We start from the raw sequence: 19,791 nt of genomic DNA, 5'->3' as shown, positions 1-19,791 counted from the left end.
TATAGGAAAAAACATTGTGTATGAAGGGACCAGTACTATAGGAAAACAATACTGTATCTGTAGGGTTCAGTACTTTCCATGGTTTCAGGCATCCACTGGTGGTCTTGGAACACAGAACCCACAGATAAGAGGGGGCCTACTACACTATAGATAGGCAGCAGGATTAAGTAAACATCCAACCATTAAAGAAATCAATGTCAGTGTTATGGTCTTACCTATTTAAATATCACCACCTGACTACTTCCCAGCTTACTCCTCCATTGTGATCCCAGGCCACACTTCAAAACTTCCCTCCCTCACCATGCTATGAACCTCTAGAAGGCAAGAGGTAGGCTTCATTCACCTTTGTATTCCCGGTATATAGCATAGGCTAAATAAAAGTTAGCAGTTAATTGACTGCATGGATGTATGTATATGCATGGAGAGACAGTAAAACAGACAGCTGGCCAGCTGGCTGAGTACTCTACTTCTGAATCATAGATTGCTTCTTAGAAAAGTAGAACTAAAACTGAAGCATAGGGTCAAGGTTAGGCCAAGGAGGGAAATGTGAGGATACAGGGAGAGAACAAAGGTTAGATGTTGAATTCTGACTGAGATTCTGCCCTCACCTCACTGTTACTGCAATCTAGTCAATGTGTGTGTTGGGAGGCAGGGATCATCTACAAGACATGTTAAATATCTATAGTGTGGGGAAAAGAAAGAGAGATCAGATTGTTACTGTGTCTGTGTAGAAAGAAGTAGACACAAGAGACTCCATTTTGTTCTGTACTAAGAGAAATTCTTCTGCCTTGAGATGCTGTTAATCTGTAACCTTACCCCCAACCCTGTGCTCCCTGAAACATGTGCTGTGTCAACTCAGGGTTAAATGGATTAAGGGCTGTGCAAGATGTGCTTTGTTAAACAAATGCTTGAAGGCAAATGCTTGAAGGCAGCAGTGGTTAAGAGTCATCACCACTCCCTAATCTCAAGTACCCAGGGACACAAAACCCTGCAGAGACCTCTGCCTAGGAAAGCCAGGTATCGTCCAAGGTTTCTCCCCATGTGATAGTCTGAAATATGGCCTCGTGGGAAGGGAAAGACCTGACCGTCCCCCAGCCCGACACCTGTAAAGGGTCTGTGCTGAGGAGGATTAGTAAAAGAGGAAGGAACGCCTCTTTGCAGTTGAGACATGAGGAAGGCATCTGTCTCCTGCCCATCTCTGGGCAATGGAATGTCTCAGTATAAAACCAGATTGTATGTTCCATCTACTGAGATGGGGAAAACTGCCTTAGGGCTGGAGGTGGGACAGGCGGGCAGCAATACTGCTCTTTAAGGCATTGAGATGTTTATGTGTATGCATATCTAAAGCACAGCACTTAATTCTTTACCTTGTCTATGATGCAGAGACCTTTGTTCACGTGCTTATCTGCTGACTTTCTCTCATTATCCTATGACCCTGCCACATCCCCCTCTCCGAGAAACACCCAAGAATGACCAATAAATACTAAGGGAACTCAGAGGCCGGCGAGATCCTCCGTATGCTGAACGCTGGTCCCCTGGGCCCCCTTTTTTCCTTCTCTATACTTTGTCTCTGTGTCTCTTTCTTTTCCAAGTCTCTTGTTCCACCTAACGAGAAACGCCCACAGGTGTGGAGGGGCAAACCACCCCTTCATATAGAATATGTTAAAAACAGACTAGGCCTGCAGAATATTTTAAACACAGATTAGACCAGACAACTTGTAAAATGTAAAGTCAACTTCCATCTACTTAACATTATGGGGTCACTTCAAGATGATAACCAGGTAACAGATTATTACCCCCACAGATAAACAGGTAAGTCAAAAAGAGACAAAAATTTCAAAGCCAAAACCAAATTCTAGTTAGAAAATTAAGCCAGAAAAAATATTTTAAAACCTTCAGCATTTGAAACGAATTTGTTAGGAAGAAAGAACTACAGCAGGCTCTATATCTTTGCTTTGTGGGTCTTGATGGCTGGCACATGTCAAGTCTAGTAATGCAACTTCTGAGAACTGTTCTTTGGCCTGAAGCTTCAGATACAGCTGCTCTCAAAGGTTCAGTCTTCTAGGCAGCTCAAGGTTCATTTGGGTCTAGGAGTGAGATTCTTTAACTTGCTCATCCCTGCTATTTAATTCACTAGTCCTAAATGTATATATTTCTTTTTCTCTCTCTCTCTTTTGAGACAGAGTCTCACTCTTTTGCCCAGGATGGAGCGCAGTGGTGTGACCTCAGCTCATTGCAACCTCCACTTCCCGTGTACAACCAATTCTCCTGTCTCAGCTTCCCGAGTAAATGGGACTACAGGTACACGCCACCACGCCTGGCTAACTTTTGTATTTTTAGTAGAGATGAGGTTCCACCATATTGGCCAGGCTGGTCATTTTGAACTCCTGACTTCAGGTGATCCCCCTGCCTCAGCCTCCCAAAGTGCTGGGATTACAGGCATGAGCCACCATGCCCAGCCAAATTTATCTCTTTCAAGTTTAAATAGTATCCTTAGTTTTGTTTTCTAACATTTGAAGGAAAGGGCCTTTTTCACCCAACCAACAGCTTTTATCATTTTATTATTGTACTGAAATTTTATTAGAATTTTTTGGCCAATGAATTTCTAAAGTCCTGAATTAAGTTCTGAACTATTTTGCCTATGTCTTCAAATTAGCCTTCCCTTGGTGTCTCCACCCCCTGAGACTCCTAGACACTCAATCACACACTTCTCCCCTCAGTAAATTTACTTGTTGACCTTTTCTGGAAACTTTTCATTTCTGTTTGATTGCATGGAAAGGTACATGCAAAGGCACACACAGACTTCTATAGAAACACTATAATTTTATACAAAAAGATGTTTCTGTTCCATTTTCAATAGTTTCCACGAATGTTTTGTTGACATTTCTGACTGTAATAATAAATTAAGTCAATGTCACGGAATCATAGAGTTGAAAAAAATGACAGAGAACATTAGCCAAAACCCACATTTTATGAGGAAGACACTGAGGGCCCGAGAAGTTACATGACTTGCAAATTGCAGCAACAATTCTACACTGGACTAGAGCCCAGGTATCCTAATTCCAGACCAGAGCTTATGCCTTCAAGCAACAATCTGAAGTCACTCTCACATTACCTTTAATGGATTATAAAAATTACTCAAGATTTTTTCCAGTGTGAGCTCACACTCAACAAAACACCCCTATCTGCCCATTCACAAAAAACATATAAAGTCTTCTACAACTTATTACTAGGTAGGTTTTTAAATTTTCTAGAGAATACAGTGTCATTTTTATTATCTAACATCAAGCTAGATCCTAGCACCAGTCCTTGGTGTCCTTAATTCTTTATTTCATGAAATTTTCTTTGGTCTCCCTTCCCCCAGTGGTATTTTCCTTTTTTTTTTTTTTTTTTCCTATTTTTTGAGACAGAGTCTCGCTTTGTCGCCCATGCTGGAGTGCAGTGCTGCAATCTCAGCTCACTGCAAGCTCTGCCTCCCGGGTTCATGCCATTCTCCTGCCTCAGCTTCCCGAGTAGCTGGTACTACAGGAGCCAGCCACCAAGCCTGGCTAATTTTTTGTATTTTTAGTAGAGACAGAGTTTCACTGTGTTAGCCAGGATGGTCTCGATCTCCTGACCTCGTGATCTGCCCGCCTTGGCCTCCCAAAGTGCTGGGATTACAGGCATGAGCCACCGCACCTGGCCTCCCCAGTCGTATTTTTAATACTCCTATGTTTAATACAAAAATGGAATCGTTTGATAAGTATGAAACTGGCATTACTAGTCCCTCTTTCAGCTTTTCCTCTGGATGGGGCCATGTGACAATCTGTCATACCTCCAGTACGCAGCCTGTTAATCATGAGAGGTATACATTTTGGCCAACAAATCAAAGTCTTACAAATTGTCAAAAGAATGGTTCAATGAACAATCTCCTGAACTGATGGCTGATGCTAGGAATGCAAATTGGGACAATGTGTCTTGAGGTTACTTTCATCACAGGAATCAACAACCTTAAATATACTAATGTCTTTAGGCTTAGTAACTAAGATTCAAAAAATTTATCCGAAGAAAATAATCAGAAAAATCCATAAAAACATTTAAGAGAAAATTCATCACTGTGTTTTATTTGTAATACAAAAAAATGGAAACAATCTGACTACCCAACAATGGGGGAATCATTAAATAAATTAAGGCACATGTAAAATATGGATCAACAATTAAATATATTATTGAGGAATGTTTAGCAACCACATGTTAAGTACAGAATAAAAGCAGGCTATAAAAAAGAATATTTTCATTAAAACGTAGTCTTGGGATCATTAGACTTTAGAATCAAAGAAATATGGTTTGAGTTTTGGCTCCTTACTTGTCAGCTCCATGACCTGCCCAAGTTACATGACCTCCATGTGTTCCTTCATCTGTAAAATGAGGATGATGACTGCACCTAATTCCTTGGGTTGATAAGAATTTTTTTAAGTTAGGGCATTCATATATATAAACTAGTATATTTAACATGGGATAAACATTCAACAAATGGTAGCTATTACAATTACTATATAACATTACATAATCGTCTTTTTAAAATCAGGAGGTAAAAATAAAGGTTATTAAAAAAAGAAAAAGGAAGATCTCACCTGGTGAGATGGGTTTAACATGTTTTAACATCAGAAGGCAGAAAACCCTCTGACCTGTCTACTTTAAAATAAACTTTAAAAATGAATTCTTCCTTACATTCTTCAAGAATAACTACATTGATCTTCGGTGTCTCCCTTTTTATCCTTGCACTTAAATCTGCACCCTGATCATAAAAATGATCCCACTGCATCTCTAGTTGGCCTCCTTCCTATCAAGTACTCCAAGCTTTTATCATACTGACTTTGAAGTCTCCAGCAAGAACCCCTCAAACTCTCTTTTTCGGCTTATATCTGATGTACACCTTATCTGCAACATTTTGTAGTTTTGCTTATTTCTTCTTGCTTGGGAAATCATCCCCTTTAATGAAAGCTACTTTTACTCCCTTACAGCAACCGATTTTACTTTAAGGCAGTGGCTGCTACGGCCCGTCTGGAGCGGCCCCCACAAGGATGTTGGCTGCAGAGCGGGAGGCACCATGGGGGCTGGACATTCAGCAGAGCTGCCGGGAGCTGGGAACAGGCAGGAGGCCAGCCACCTATCAGCTTGGCAGGGTAGGAGCCAGTGCTCCCAGGAGCAGCTGCAGCCGCCCAACCGCACTCTCAGGGGCCCAGGAAGTCCCCTGCCCCTACAGGCTTAGAAATGCCTGCTCCCACTGCCTGGCCTCTCCCGACTCACGGCATCCACTCCAGGGTGGGGCAAAGTTGTGGCTAAGCTGAGGCACTGTCTCAACCCAGCCGGGTGTGCATGCACTAAGAGCGGTGATGACATGCCAGCCCCCTGCCACTTCAGCCCCCTCTAGACTTTGGGCACAAGCCCAGGAGGGAGGTCCAGCCAAGGGGCTGAGGGTAGTAGCTTGGCATGGGCCTGTGGGCTCCCCGCAGCCTCTAGAGCCAGGGTGCTGTGGAGGTCATGTTGGTGGCAGCAAGAGGTTGAAAGTTTCCTGGGCAGGAAAGGGTGGGTCCCTGGCAGAACCCCTCCTTCAAGCTAGGACTGGCCTGAAGCCTAGGGGCCAGGCTGCCAGTTCTGGATGAAGTCCACCAACAGGAGTATGAAGTTCATTGATGACCAATCGGCCAATTGGATGGTGCTTTTTCCAGGCCTGCCCATGGCCAGCCACCCATCAACCAATCAACATGCACTTCCTCCATTCTGAGCACATAAAAACCTGCAGACTTAGCCAGACACCCTTATCAGGATGACCTGCCTGCAGATAGGAGCTACCCACTCCAGTCTCCTCTCTGTTGAGGGCTGCACTGGGTGTGGTGGTGCGACCCGTAGTCCCAGCTACTTGGGAAGCTGAGGTCGGAGGACTGCTTGAGCCTGGAAGGTGGAAGGTGCAGTGAGCTGAGATTGCATCACTGCACTCCAGCCTGGATGACAGTGAGACCCTGTCTCAAAAAAAAAAAAAAAAAAAGACAGAAACTGAAAAACATTTTGTCCAATCACAATTTAAAAAAGTAACAAAATAAAATGGAATCTGAAAAATAGTGTTCAGATAAGAAGGCAGACTTTTAGAATCCAATTTTTAAAATGTAAAATTAAATTGGTACTTTGGACTGGGCACAGTGGCTTACACATGTAATCCCAGCACTTTGAGAAGCAGAGGTGGGAGAATCCCTTGAGCCCAGGAGTTCAAGACCAGCCTCGGCAACATAGCAAGACCCCCATCTCTACCAAATATAAAAATAAAAATTTAGCCAGGCATGATGGCACACTCCTGTGGTCCCAGCTCCTTGGGAAGCTGAAGTGGGAGGATCACTTCAGCCTGGGAAATTGAGACTGCAGTGAGCTATGATCACGCCACTGTACACCAGCCTGGGAGACAGAGCAAGATCCTGTCTCAAAAGAAATAAAATATTAAAATTAAAAAATAAATTGGTACTTTGAAAAAAGTTACTTACAAATCAATACAGAAATTATTCAAAAACCACATAAAAATATAGAAATCTCTTAAGTACTTATAGTAATGAAGTCCTTGAATTAAACTTTAACATCACTGCAGCTAGGCATTATTTGGGGAGGAAAGTGCTATTTAAAGTACCATTCTTTTCTCCCTTGGTTTAGTTCTCTTCAGTTCTAATGCCTACTATACAAAAACTATTTTTTCAGTGTGGTGGTGATTGTTAAATTCTAGGTATTCCAAAAGAAGTGAAAATCATTCTCTTGAAGACCATATTCAGTCCTTTAGAGGAATGAATATGCAATATTTAACCTTATACCCAGAGACAGGTTCTTTACTGTTCACTTGACCTGTACTAAGATTCTATAACAAACTTGAAATACAATGACAAATGGCAGAAAGGTTAATGAGTCTCTTTCTCTCTCTCTAATTCCTTTCACAATCCCTAGCACCCTCCCTCCATTAGCAGTCCCTAACACCAGATATTGAAAAACAAAAATAAAGCCCAAACTAAACAAACACAAAAGCGCTTTACTGAAGCTTCAGGGAAAAATTCTACTGTCCTTGATGGACTGAAAGCAGCAGCCACGTGTACCAAGACAAGGATATCTTTTGCTCTTACCTCATCAGCTATATAGGGAAAAGATAAAGGAATTGGGGAACATTTGGGTGGGAGGATAAAAATGGATGAGGGTGGGAGGATAAAAATGGATTAGGATCTGAAGTTATGACCCAGAATGAAGCTCCCCATGAGATAAAATGTTATATACACAGAACTCATTGGAGAAATGCCTGATTTTGGGACTGGGGCAGGAAATACACAAAATGAGCCTAGAGCACCATGTAGTGCCAGAAAGCAAGGAAGTGCTCAAAAAAACCCCCACAACGTTGGGGGTATGTCAAAGGTACACAAGAGTCAACTGAAAGAGATCCCAATGGCCAAAGATAAAACAGCTTGAACAACAAAATAAATGTGGTAGTGGATTATAATCCAAAGCATAAAATTACTATCCATGAAACCAAACTAATATAAATAAGTAATAAATGGGAGTAAAAGGACAATCTCGGCTGGGTGCGGTGGCTCACGCCTGTAATCCTAGCACTTTGGGAGGCCGAGGCGGGCGGATCACTAGGTCAGGAGAACAAGACCATCCTGGCTAACACGGGGAAACCCCGTCTCTACTAAAAATTCAAAAAATTAGCCGGGCGCGGTGGTGGGCACCTGTAGTCCCAGCTACTCAGGAGGCTGAGGCGGGAGAATGGCGTGAACCCGGGAGGCAGAGCTTGAAGTGAGCCGAGATCGCGCCACTGCACTCCAGTCTGGGCGACACAGCGAGACTCTGTCTCAAAAAAAAAAAAAAAAAAAAAAAAAAAAGGACAAATCTCCCATACAGAAGAATTCCAAATAATCTGACAGATTACTCTACATTTAAGGAGTGGAGAGCATAACTCTCTACTCCTTAAATGTGGGCTGCACAAAGTGACTTTCTTTCAAAAAGTGCAGTATGCAAATAAAGTTTACAGTTAAGAAAACTCACAAATACTGCCGCATCAGATTAGATCAACATCAATTGCAACAAACATGTTTATAGTATGTACACTTCATATGATGTGATGAAACTGGCAAGTCATTTTCTTTTTTTTTTTTTTTTGAGATGAAGTTTTACTCTTGTCGCCCAGGCTGGAGCGCAATAACATGATCTCGGGTCACTGCAACCTCCGCCTCCCAGGATCAAGCAATTCTCCTGCCTCAGCCTCCCAAGTAGCTGGGATTATAGGCACCTGCTACCATGCCCGGCTAATTTTTGTATTTTTAGTAGAGACGGGTTTTGCCATGTTGACCAGGCTGGTCTCAAACTCCAGACCTCAAGTTATCTACCCACCTTGGCCTCCCAAAGTGCTGGGATTACAGGCATGAGCCACTGCACCCAGCCTGGCACTTCACCTTTCTGATTGATCTTCCTTCCAAAAACCTAAAACCCCAGTATAATCATGAGAAAAACACCTAAGAAATTCCAGTAGAGACTATCCCACAAAATACCTAACCAGTAAGCCTCAAACCTGTCAAGGTCATCAAAAATAAAGCAAGTCTGAAAAACTGTCACAGCCACAAGCAGCCAAAACAGACACGAAAACTAAATGTAATGTGGTACCTGGTTGGGATCTTGGAACAGAAAAAGGACATCAGCTAAAAAGTATGGGAATCTGAATAAAATATGACTTGGGTTAATAATAATGGATCAATATTGGTTTATTTTTTTTTTCCAGTAGGGTCTCACTCTGTCACCCAGGCTGTAGTGCAGTGGTATGATCGTAATTCACTGTAACCTTTAACTCCTGGGCTCAACTGATCCTACCACCTCAGCCTCACAAGAAACAAAGACTACTGGCATGTGCCACCACAAGTGACTAATTTTTTAAGTTTTCTGTAGAAATGGGGTCTCACTATATTGTCTTGATATGGTTCAGATCTGTGTCCCTCAGCAAATCTCACTTTCAATTGTAATCCCCAATGTGGGAGGTGGGGCCTGGTGGGAGGTGATTGGGTCATGGCGGCAATTTCTCATGGGTGGTTTAGCGCCATCCCCTTGGTGCTATTCCTGTGATAGTGAGTTCTTGCAAGATCTGGTTTTCTGGGGGTATGCAGCACCTCCCTGTCTCTGTCTTCCTCCCGCTCTGGCCATGTGAAGTGGTGGCTCCCACTCTGTCTTCTGCCATGATTGTAAGTTTTGCAAGGTCTCTCCAGACACTGAGCAGATGCCAGCATCATGCTTCCTGTACAGCCTATGGAATCGTGAGCCAATTAAACCTCTTTTCTTTATAAGCTAACAGTACTTACTTCTTTTTGTTGTTGTTGAGACAGAGTCTTGCTCTGTCACCCAGGCTACAGTGCAGTGGTGTGATCTGGGTTCACTGTAGCCTCCACCTCCCGGGTTCAAGGTATTCTCCTGCCTCAGCCTCCCGAGTAGCTGGGACTACAGGTGTGCACCATCACACCCAGCTAATTTTTGTATTTTTTAGTAAAGGTGGGGTTTCGCCATATTGACCAGGCTAGTCTTGAACTCCTGGCCTCAAGTGATGTGCTCACCTTGGCCTCCCAAAGTGCCAGGATTACAAGCGTGAGCCACCACACTTGGCAACAGTACTTATTTTATCTCCAATAGCATGGAAATGATATTCCAAGGACATAAGACAGTGTAAATGGAATTCCACAAAATAATACTGTTACCCTTACACTGTGGATTAAGGGAATACTTAGCATTTCAAAAAGTGTTTTCTAACACTGCTTTTAGGAGACTGTGCTTTCAAATTTCTTATTATCAGTGGAATTCAAATTACAGCTGAAAACAGATAATGTGTTGGTCGCAGGCCCATATGCATTCACCAATCAATTCCTGGGCTATTCTCTGTTCTGTTAGAAGAGCTAAGTCCTACAGGCTCTTGTGTCAGCTGGTCCCAGTAGAGTCAGACCAATGGGATGCAATGGTGAAAGACTGGACAGTGAAAACAAGGAAGAAACCACGGTATTACCGCCCCTTCCTCTCCGTCTTTAGCAACTGCTCCAGCAGCAGCAGTGGCTCCAGCTCCCCCTGAACAGACATCCGTGGTTCCAATTAATGTAGAGTGGTTTTGAAAAACACCAACTCCTCCCTTTGGCCCTACAGCTCTAGGAGTGCTAGTGGTTCCTTGCTGTTCCCAATCTCTGGATTGCTTCACCATCCTAGTTTCATTTCTCAACAACTCCACTAGCTATGAAGCCAATTCCTTGAATTACATTTCCCTTGTTTTATATTATTTAAGTTATATGTTTTCCTAGTTAGACCGTGACATAATTTAAGAAGTTGAAGGGGAAAGAGAAACAAAGAGAATATTCTGAATAAGAGCACAGAGGCAACAAAGCAGAGTACCTCTGGGATTCATCTACTTCTCAAATGTGTGACTTTGCACAAATTATTTCAGTGCTTTAAGCCTCAATTTATTCATCTACAAGTAGAGGGTTATAATATTAGCAGGATCTATACCTGCTAGGATTATTATATAGACTAAATGAGTTCATGCATTTAAAACATTAGCATAAAGCCTGGCACAAAACAGTTCAGCTATCATCACTCTTATTGCTGCCATCATCTCCTCCTCTACACTCCCAAAGTACTGCCCACTGTAACGCATTTTCAACTAGGCTTGTCCTCTTCTACAGGATCTCCGCTGCTGAGGAGTTCCCAGTCTAGGAGTCTAGGTTTAGTTTCTACCCTTCTTAAACACTGCTCTGGGCTTGATTCTCCTGAAGGCCTCCACTGATCACACAACTCCTACAAAATTAACTGCCTACAAATTTAGTCCACACATTCCTTAACCCGCCATTTGGAGCTATCTACAGTTGTTAACCCAACCTACCTTTCCCTATTTTTCTTCCTTGATATAACCCACATTTTAGAAAAACTTATTTATCTCTTTCTGGTTTCTTTCGAAAAATCAAACATCTGGTAATAATGGTTTATTCCAATGATCTGCCTCCTTTAGAAAAGCAAGTGCTCTCTCATTTTGCTATAATCATCACTCACATAATGCAACACCATTTAACCCAGTCATCCCCTCACTCATTTGTGCCACGTGACTGCCCCCTTTAAGCATCTGAATTTGCTACCTCTGCCTAAGATTTTATCTTTTTAACTTAGCTCACATTCTTCCCTTTTCTCAATGTTCTACTCATTCAACTCACTTTTCACAGTTTTCTCTGATTTCCCAAATAAGAAACAATGGCTCATTCCTACGAAATCAAGCATTTTATCCATATATTTCTCTTATGACACCTATGCCTTAGTCTTTCATTCCCTTACCCTTGAAAAGACATTTACTAAGTATCTGCAACCTACCCCGTGCTGTGCTTGGCCCTAGAAGTCATTCTCAAAAGTGAATCAGGCAGGATCTCCACTGCTGGGGAGTTCCCAGTCTGAGAGTCTAGGTTTAGTTTCTGGTCAAGTCCCTTGAGGAAAAAATGCGTATTTGATTCATCTTTGTATCCACTATAGCACTTAGACTCAGAACCTTACCTAATAATGTACGACTCCATAAATAAAGTGTTAAATGGATGAATAAATAAATGAACAAAAATATGATAGCACTTAGAGAAACTGTCTTTAATTGGGCATTTAAATTTGCTCCAAATTTGCCTCCTAGAGCAACTGTTTTCATAAATAGCCACATTTATTTATTGTCTATGTGTTCAGTCTACAACAGTGTAGTTGCAGCTAGATGTGCAGGTTTGTTACACAGGTAAATGTGTGCCAGATGCTATATGGTCTGCAGAGCCTGAAATGGTTACTATCTAACCCTTTACAAATTAAGTTTGCTATCCTCTGCCCTTGAGGGTGGCAATCTTGGTTTATTTATACCCTCCCTATACACACTTAGTTTATAGCTTCCATATATTTGGTGTTACCCAAAAATCTATTAAAATGAATTTAATTGACAAATTTTAAAAACAGAACCTATTTCTAAGTTGGAGACTGCCTGTGTTATTGGAGATATTAATAAGCAATGATCAAAACTTGAAAAAGCACATCAGAAGTCAGAGTATTATACGTACTCTGATTATACACATATTTATTAGATACTGACATTTTAGGCCTCTCCTGACTATTACAAAAGTCAAAGAGGCATAGTCTCATTTATCTTATTCTTTTTTTAATTCCTGAAGGCTGTCCGTTCATCATTCTATAACATTTCCCTAATCTACTTATCTCCAAGCCTGTTGGTTTCATTCATTTGTTAATTTAATGATTCAACAAAAATTTATGAGGCAGAGCAACCATGTGCCTGGTACTATGTTGGGAACTGAGAGAACGAGTATTCTTAAAACTTCATCCCCATCTATAAAGAATATCTAATTTTAGTTAAAAAGGCATATTTCAAAGAGAAGAAACATTATTTAAATAATGCCAGCAGATCAACAAATGGGCCATGTCAGGTATCTGTTACCACTACCTGGTTTCAAATATCCACTAAAAAAACCAAAATAACAACAGCAACAATTAAAAAAACAGAAAAATTACTATAAATGTTCCACTACCATGAATCAAAAAATTTCTGAAAACTGGGAAAAAAGATCACTCCATCATAGCTGCTACAGCTGGGGAAAAAAAAAAAGGCACCAAAATTGTTTACAAATTCCCTATGGCATTTTATTCTCCCTAAACAACATAGGCAGTAAATAACTTTTTAGATAAATATAAGTTGCCTGAAAGTGTTATAAAATGCTAAAATTTCTATTTTGAGACTGAACATTTCAGTCCAAGAAAAACAAGAGTTGTACCAGAGGGAAATGAAGAAGAAAAAAAGTATTCTTCCTCCTCACAAGAGGGGTGGTAGTTGTGATGGAGAGAGGAAAGACGTAGACTATTCACTCATTCAACAAATACTTATTTAACTTTTACCATATAAATATATAAACATTTATTTGGCATGTGCCAGGACTTATGCTAAGTTCTGGGGAAAAAGCAGTGAGCAAGAGAGACACAGACTCTTGCTCTCCCTTAGAGGCTAACATATAAGAGGACCCTACAAGGAAAAAATACAGGTGTCAATGATATTAAAATCAAATATCCATGTTTATTTATTAAGTTGCTCAATAATAATAGAAGTTAATAGCTATTTCATAGACAAATAATTAAATGGCTATCATGTGCCAATTACAATGCCAATCACAGATACAGATACAAGTGTCTTCCCTGAGGACTTCACACCATAGGTGCTTATACAAATATAAATAATTTTGATGTATCTTAATAAACTATAATAAAAACTTGTGCAACTTCCTAAGGAAACACACAGTATAAAACAATTTTCTCCTACTAGGCAAAGGGAACTGGGGTCAGGGAAGGCTTCACACTGGATGTGTCTTTAAAAAAAAAATGAATAGGAGTTAGCCAGGAAAAGAATTTCAGAAGAGAAAGCTCTAGTAAAGTCACAGAACCATAAAATTTCATGAAGGAAACTTAATGTAACTATAGTACAGGGTACAGTGCAATGTAGGGGATGTGAAATGTGGCTGGATATGTCATTTAAGGATCAGTACATGAAGAGTCCTGTGTAAGATCCTAAGAAAGGTTTAGATCATGTTAAACTCATAAAAAGGGATGGTGTCATTAACAAGTCTGTGTTGTAGAAAAATAACTGATGGCAGTGTGAAGTTTAGAAAGGATACAATACCAGAAGCAAAGAGACTTGTTTTTAAAGGCGATCACTACAGGCCAGAGGAGAAACAATAAAGACTAAGAAAATAGCAAGGGAAGGAATACCATGAAAAAAATTACAGAGATGAGGCTAAGTGACTCATGAACTGAATGGTGGAGGTAAAGGAGAAAGTGCACATGATGGCACTAGTCAAGAAAGGGGGAAAGAAGAGGAGAATCAGCATGTTCAGGGAAGACTATAATGAGCTACATTTTAAATAAGCTGAATTTTCTATTTTTGTGTATGGTACTCACTGGTAGACATCTGGAAATTCTTACTCCATTCACTGAAAGAAAAGTTCTTCTCATTTCTTCCCATTCAAGAATAACATTCATTCATTCAACAATTTCTTTTTGGAATGTTTACCACACATCAGGCACCATTATAAATGCTAGAAATACATACCAGAGAACAAATAAAGTCCCTGTCCATGAAACTTAACATTCTAGCCTCCCATTATGGTGTAAAAAACAGTGGGAAAGAATCAGTTAGGCCGGGTGCGGTGGCTCACCCCTGAAATCCCAGCACTTCGGGAGGTTGAGGAGGGTGGATCGCTTGAGGTCAGGAGTTTGAGACCAGCCTGGCTGACATGGGGAAACCCTATCTCTACTGAAAATACAAAAATTAGCTGGGCGTGGTGGCAGGCGCCTGTGGTCCCAGCTACTTGGGAGGCTGAGGCAGGAGACTCAGGTGAACCTGTGAGGCAGAGGCTGCAGTGAGCCGAGATCCCGCCATTGCATTCCAGCCTGGGCAACAGAGCAAGACTCCATCTCAAAAAAAAAAAAGTTAAAAATATGGGTATACAGTACATAATCCATGTGATTACCAATGTAAGCTTCAAAGTATTGTTAAAACATGTTTTAAATCATGTTATCATTGCAAAATAGTAAAAGTACTGTCTTATTTTTGGAAATGAATAAATGCCTGAAAATTAGTTTGACAGGTTTTAGTTTTCACGTATCAGGATTGTTTATAATGAAACATATATGTGTCTAGTTTTTTTTACATGTTACACTATCCTAATAATAACAAGAGTTGTGGGGGTGGGAGGAGGGAGAGCATCAGGAAGAATAGCTAATGCATGCTGGGCTTAATACCTAGGTGATGAGACAATCTGTGCAGCAAACCACCACGGCACACATTTACCTGTGTAACAAACCTGCACATCTAGCACATGTACCCCGGAACTTAAAATAAAAATTGAAGAAAAATAAAAGTAAGAGTTACAGTTTTCAGGAAAGTAATGGAAACTAAATGACTACCGTTTCATACAAACTGAGTTTTGTTCAAACTGCTTTAAAATTTGATAATAATCTCTTAAAGTTTCTTTTCTACTTTTCCATGAGAAACAGCTTTGCTAGTGCAAAGTTTGATTATGACTTCTATTAAACCATTAATTGTAAAATGCTAACTTTATTCAAGATGCTACATATTTTGCCTATTTTTAAAAATTATTTTAATCTCCTAAGCAGGCTAATGAACATTAGTTCTTAGTTTCAAAAGAGAAGCTTACCTAAGAAAAAGTTATTTAACAAATATGACAAGATATATTTATTTCTTTTTGATTTTTCTTTTAGAAAGACAGGGGTCTCACTATGTTGCCCACCCTGGGTCTTGAACCCCTGGGCTCAAGTAATTCTCCCACCTGACCTTCCAAATTGCTAGAATTACAGGCATGAGCCACCATGTCCAGCCCAACAAGATATATTTCATAAACCTTAAAATGAATTACATTTTTAAAATACAGTGTGAAAGTTTTTCTTTAACTCATTGACAAACATTATTTTCTATTTTCCATAAGATTTCCAAATATGCCCTACACCTAGGCCATTTTTTTTTCTTTCCTAATATTTACCTTTTGTCAGCTTCTCATTGCTTTCAGTACTTCCAAGTTCCCTAAAGTTATTATCAACAATCTTCTGCCTCATTATTGGTCATTGCCTGGACCAACAACTCCCAAAAGAAGCAGAACAACCCCTTAGGGACATTCTGAAAGTACGTGAGGCCCTGTTTGGTTGCACAATAATTTGAATAGAAGGGAGGGTATTTGGTGGATGGGGGACCATTGATCGTAGAAGTCCTAAAATATATGAGACAAGCCTGTGTAACAAAAAACTGTTTGCATCCCTCAATTTTAAAAGATTAAGTAGGTGAAAAGTTTATGATAATCTTAGTCCAGAACTTCATTATATATAAATATATCATTATTACACTGTTTTAGTACAGACTGAATCTTCCATAAGTGCAAGTGCCATGTAAATTGAGGGAGATTCCACTGTTTTGTTCAAGTTTTTACCAGAAATTGTTCACCATTTAGGAGAAATAAGTTTGTAAAGAACAATGGTCCTTCTGCTACTTGAAAAGCCAATATAATACATTTGATAAACAATTTGCATTGGTAGCTGTCACATACACAGTGATTCTACAAATTGGTGTAATATGACAGCAACTAATAATTACTTCATTATGTTTTCTAATGTAGTAATGTCTAAGTATTTACATATTTAAATTGTAGACATGTTAACATGTTATTTTCTTTTTTTTGAGACAAAGTCTCGCTCTGTCGCCCAGGCTGGAGTGCAGTGGCATGATCTCCGCTCACTGCAACCTCTGCCCCCTGGGTTCAAGCAATTCTTCTGCCTCAGCCTCCCTACTAGCTGGAATTACAGACTTGTGCTACCATGCCCAGCTAATTTTTGTATTTTTAGTAGAGACACGGTTTTGCCCTGTTGGCCAGGCTGGTCTCGAACCCCTGACTCAAGTGATCCACCCACCTCAGCCTCCCAAATTGCTGGGATTATAGGAGCGAGACACCGCTCGCAGCCTGTAGACATGTTATTGTCTAATAAAATATTTCACCTTTATGTCTCAATTAAAGCATTATATTGATTATTAAAAGTTATGTTTACAGGTAGATTTTATTGTCTATGAATCTGACTTCAGGATTTCAGGATATTACAGGACACAGACAGTTTGAGAATCACTGGCCTACACTTTAGCCTTCAAGTACCTGGACTACTAAAGATGCTTCCTATGTGGTACTCTGGATTCTGTAAACTCTCTCCTCTTCCAAGTAAAAATACCTACACATGTAAAAGTCACCAATATTAGTTCTATCTTCCAATTACCACAGCTCCCAACTACCTTGAAAGCCTGATACTCGGATTTTTACGACTCTCCACAAAAGGATTACTTCTGCCTGATCTTGTTCAGCTGTATCATACACTGAATACTATATCCAGAAATCCTTATTTCTAAGGAGTCAGCAAGTCATAAGGGAAAAAGTGTAGCATTTGGAATCGTAGATCTGCCACTTACCAGGGATGATCCTGGACCAGTTACTTAAAACTTTCTAAATCTCTACTGCCTCATTTTTTTTTCTTTGTTGGAGACAGGGTCTAGCTCTGTCTCTCAGGCTGGAGTGCAGTGGCGAAATCATAGCTCACTATAACCTCAACTCCTGGGCTCAAGTGATTCTCCCGACCCAGCCTCCCAAGCAGCTAGGACTACAGGCTCACACCACCACACCCAGCTAATTTTTTTTTTTTTTTTTTAGCAGAGATGGGGTCTCCTGTGTTGCCCAGGCTGTCCTCCAAACTCATGGCCTCAAGTGATCCTCCTGCCTGGGCTTCCTAAAGCGCTGGGATTACAAGCCTAAACCACCACTTGGGCAATATTTCATATTGAATGTTGAAAATTACCATGCAACTGTGCATATATCAGGTTAAAGAAAATACATGGTTAAAATCAAACCCACCTGTTTCTCTTCAGTTGTTTAATATGGCTACAAAAAACTTAAAAATATGCCGGACGCGGTGGCTCACGCCTGTAATCCCAGCACTTTGGGAGGCCGAGGCGGGCGGATCACGAGGTAAGCAGATCGAGACCATCCTGGCTAACACGGTGAAACCCCCGTCTCTACTAAAAATACAAAAAATTAGCCGGGAGTGGTGGCAGGCGCCTGTAGTCCCAGCTACTTGGGAGGCTGAGGCAGGAGAATGGCCTGAAACCGGGAGGCGGAGCTTGCAGTGAGCCGAGATCGCGCCACTGCACTCCAGCCTGGGCGACAGAGCGAGACTCCGTCTCAAAAAAAAAAAAAAAAAAAAAAAACGTAAAAATACGTATGTGGCTCACAATATGCTTCTGTTGGACAGTTTTCTGTTAGACCCTTCCTTTTTCCAGCTCTACAGTTCATCCTGAATACACCACTTGGAGTTTCCAACTGGGCCCTGTTTCTGTGCCGGAGACTTTGGAGACAGTAGTCCTGGTACCCGAAACACTTTTTCCCCTTCTCCTTGCTGAATGGACTGTTTTTATTCATTCAGATCTTAATTTTTAACTACAGCTTTCTCCAAGAAGCGTCCCTGATCCCACCACGTCCCCTGCAAGACGTTTTTAGGGCCTCCTATGAGATAGGAAAATCCACATACAGCACTTATTTTACTGTATTTGCAATTGCCTGTTTTCTGGTTTGTGTCCCAGACAAGACTGGAAGCTCCTTGAGGAGACAGATCCTCAGAACTGCTCCGTCTTCCACGCCCAGGCGTCAAAGCCCAGCACAAAGCGGTCTCTCCACTGAACAAGTGAGCGCTAGGGCACAGACCGTGAGCGAATGCGGGGGAGTACAAAGGTTCAAGGGTGAGGCGGTAGAGGGGGCTGAAGCAGAAACTACAAGGGAGCCAGAGAGGGGTGGGGGCCGCTGGCAGGACTCACCAGTCTCTGCTGGTCGACGTCGGCGTCTGGCCGTTTGGCCGAGGGCTGCAAGTACTCAGCGTAGCGCAAACTCTCGCCAACTGGAGCGATGACACCACGGGCAGCCATGGCAAGGCGGCCCGGAGACTCAAGGCGCCGCGGCAGTGACTACGAGGCGGCCGTAGGGACAAACTAGTTAGCGCGGTTTCTTCTCGCAGATCCAGTGGACTCTGCGCTCGTTGTGCTATTAAAGGCGAGGTTCCCGGAAGATACCCTTCTCACCCGAGCTGGGTAACGTGTCCCGTGCAAGCACGGGGTCACACTCCGAAAGGAGCCAAGGGCACTGGGACGTTCTTGAATCACACTCACAGGCGCAAAGCCAACGCGGACCCTCAGGGAGCTTTATATACTTGGGCCTGGTCCCTCCCCAGGCCGCCGTAAGGGACTGGGCTTAAGCCCTGCGAACTGATGTTGGTCGAATCAGATGACTGCCCAGTAAGCTCGGAGTCTAGCTGTAGTGCCTGAGGGTGGGCTTGCCTGAGCTTTCCTGACCCCCTTCCGGGCAGCCTTTCTTCCCACTCTCAACTTCTGTTCGCACTTCTGTTTAATGCCACAGTTCTACCACCCCGGGAGAGAAATTAAAGAGGCAATTTGCTTACTCCACCCCCAAGTAAATGGCTGTATTTAAGGTGAAATTACACAGAAGAAAGTTGTGGCCGGGTGCGGTGGCTCACGCTGTAATCCCAGCACTTTGGGAGACCGAGGCGGGTGGATCACACCAGCTTGGCCGACATGGTGAAACCTCGTCTCTACTAAAAATACAAAGATTAGCTGGGTGTGGTGGTGCGTCCCTGTAATCCCAGCTACTCAGGAGCCTGAGGCAGGGGAAAAAAAGTTGTGAGCAAGTAGGTAAATCTTACTCTCCCTCAAATGAGTTTGTGCTGATTTGTATATATAAAAGCCCATTTTATTATTAAGCTTTTTTTTTTTTTTGAGATGGAGTCTCGCTCTGTTGCCCAGGCTGAGTGCAGTGGCGCAATCTCTGGCTCACTGCACCCTCTGCCTCCCGAGTACCTGGGATTAAAGGCACGTGCCACCACACCTGGCTAATTTGTGTATTTTTAGTAGAGACGAGGTTTCACCATGTTGGCCAGGCTGGTCTCAAACTCCTGACCTCAGGTGATCCGCCCGCTTCAGCCTCCCAAAGTGCTGAGATTACAGGCGTGAGTCACCGCGCCTGGCCTCCATCAAGTTTTTAGAGCAAAAATTAACCAGCAGTTGAAGCGTATGGTGTTTTCCAACTTCTGTACCAACGTGGCAGCTCTTTGGCTCCTTATACCCTTTGCAAAATC

At 41.9% G+C, this 19,791-nt stretch overlaps 1 protein-coding gene across 1 annotated transcript in view, besides 5 other annotated features; it reads right to left on the bottom strand.

Moving 5' to 3' along the window:
- The window catches only part of DNAJC15 (DnaJ heat shock protein family (Hsp40) member C15), a 90,628-nt gene extending 72,019 nt beyond the window's left edge, over positions 1 to 18,609 (bottom strand). Inside the window, exon 1 of the mRNA NM_013238.3 lies at positions 18,461 to 18,609. Coding sequence (NP_037370.2) covers positions 18,461 to 18,568 — 108 coding nt within the window. The 5' untranslated portion in view covers positions 18,569 to 18,609. The remainder of the gene's footprint in view (positions 1 to 18,460) is intronic.
- Positions 290 to 1,138: an enhancer, noted in NCBI's record as "NANOG-H3K27ac hESC enhancer chr13:43615193-43616041 (GRCh37/hg19 assembly coordinates)". NCBI's record gives its function as "activates a minimal SCP1, AML or CMV promoter by ChIP-STARR-seq in naive and primed H9 embryonic stem cells {active_cell/tissue: H9 hESC(naive and primed)}" and the evidence as "EXISTENCE:reporter gene assay evidence [ECO:0000049][PMID:30033119]".
- Positions 5,255 to 5,824: an enhancer, noted in NCBI's record as "H3K4me1 hESC enhancer chr13:43610507-43611076 (GRCh37/hg19 assembly coordinates)". NCBI's record gives its function as "activates a minimal SCP1, AML or CMV promoter by ChIP-STARR-seq in primed H9 embryonic stem cells {active_cell/tissue: H9 hESC(primed)}" and the evidence as "EXISTENCE:reporter gene assay evidence [ECO:0000049][PMID:30033119]".
- Positions 18,111 to 18,160: an enhancer, noted in NCBI's record as "active region_7662". NCBI's record gives its function as "activates an Ori minimal core promoter by ATAC-STARR-seq in GM12878 lymphoblastoid cells {active_cell/tissue: GM12878}" and the evidence as "EXISTENCE:reporter gene assay evidence [ECO:0000049][PMID:35858748]".
- Positions 18,671 to 18,720: an enhancer, noted in NCBI's record as "active region_7661". NCBI's record gives its function as "activates an Ori minimal core promoter by ATAC-STARR-seq in GM12878 lymphoblastoid cells {active_cell/tissue: GM12878}" and the evidence as "EXISTENCE:reporter gene assay evidence [ECO:0000049][PMID:35858748]".
- Positions 18,731 to 18,790: an enhancer, noted in NCBI's record as "active region_7660". NCBI's record gives its function as "activates an Ori minimal core promoter by ATAC-STARR-seq in GM12878 lymphoblastoid cells {active_cell/tissue: GM12878}" and the evidence as "EXISTENCE:reporter gene assay evidence [ECO:0000049][PMID:35858748]".

This window comes from Homo sapiens, chromosome 13, assembly GCF_000001405.40.
Source record: "Homo sapiens chromosome 13, GRCh38.p14 Primary Assembly".
Classification (NCBI taxonomy): Eukaryota; Metazoa; Chordata; class Mammalia; order Primates; family Hominidae; genus Homo; species Homo sapiens.
The sequence above is the reverse complement of the archived record's forward strand: the minus strand, read 5'-3'. Positions and strand labels throughout refer to the sequence as shown.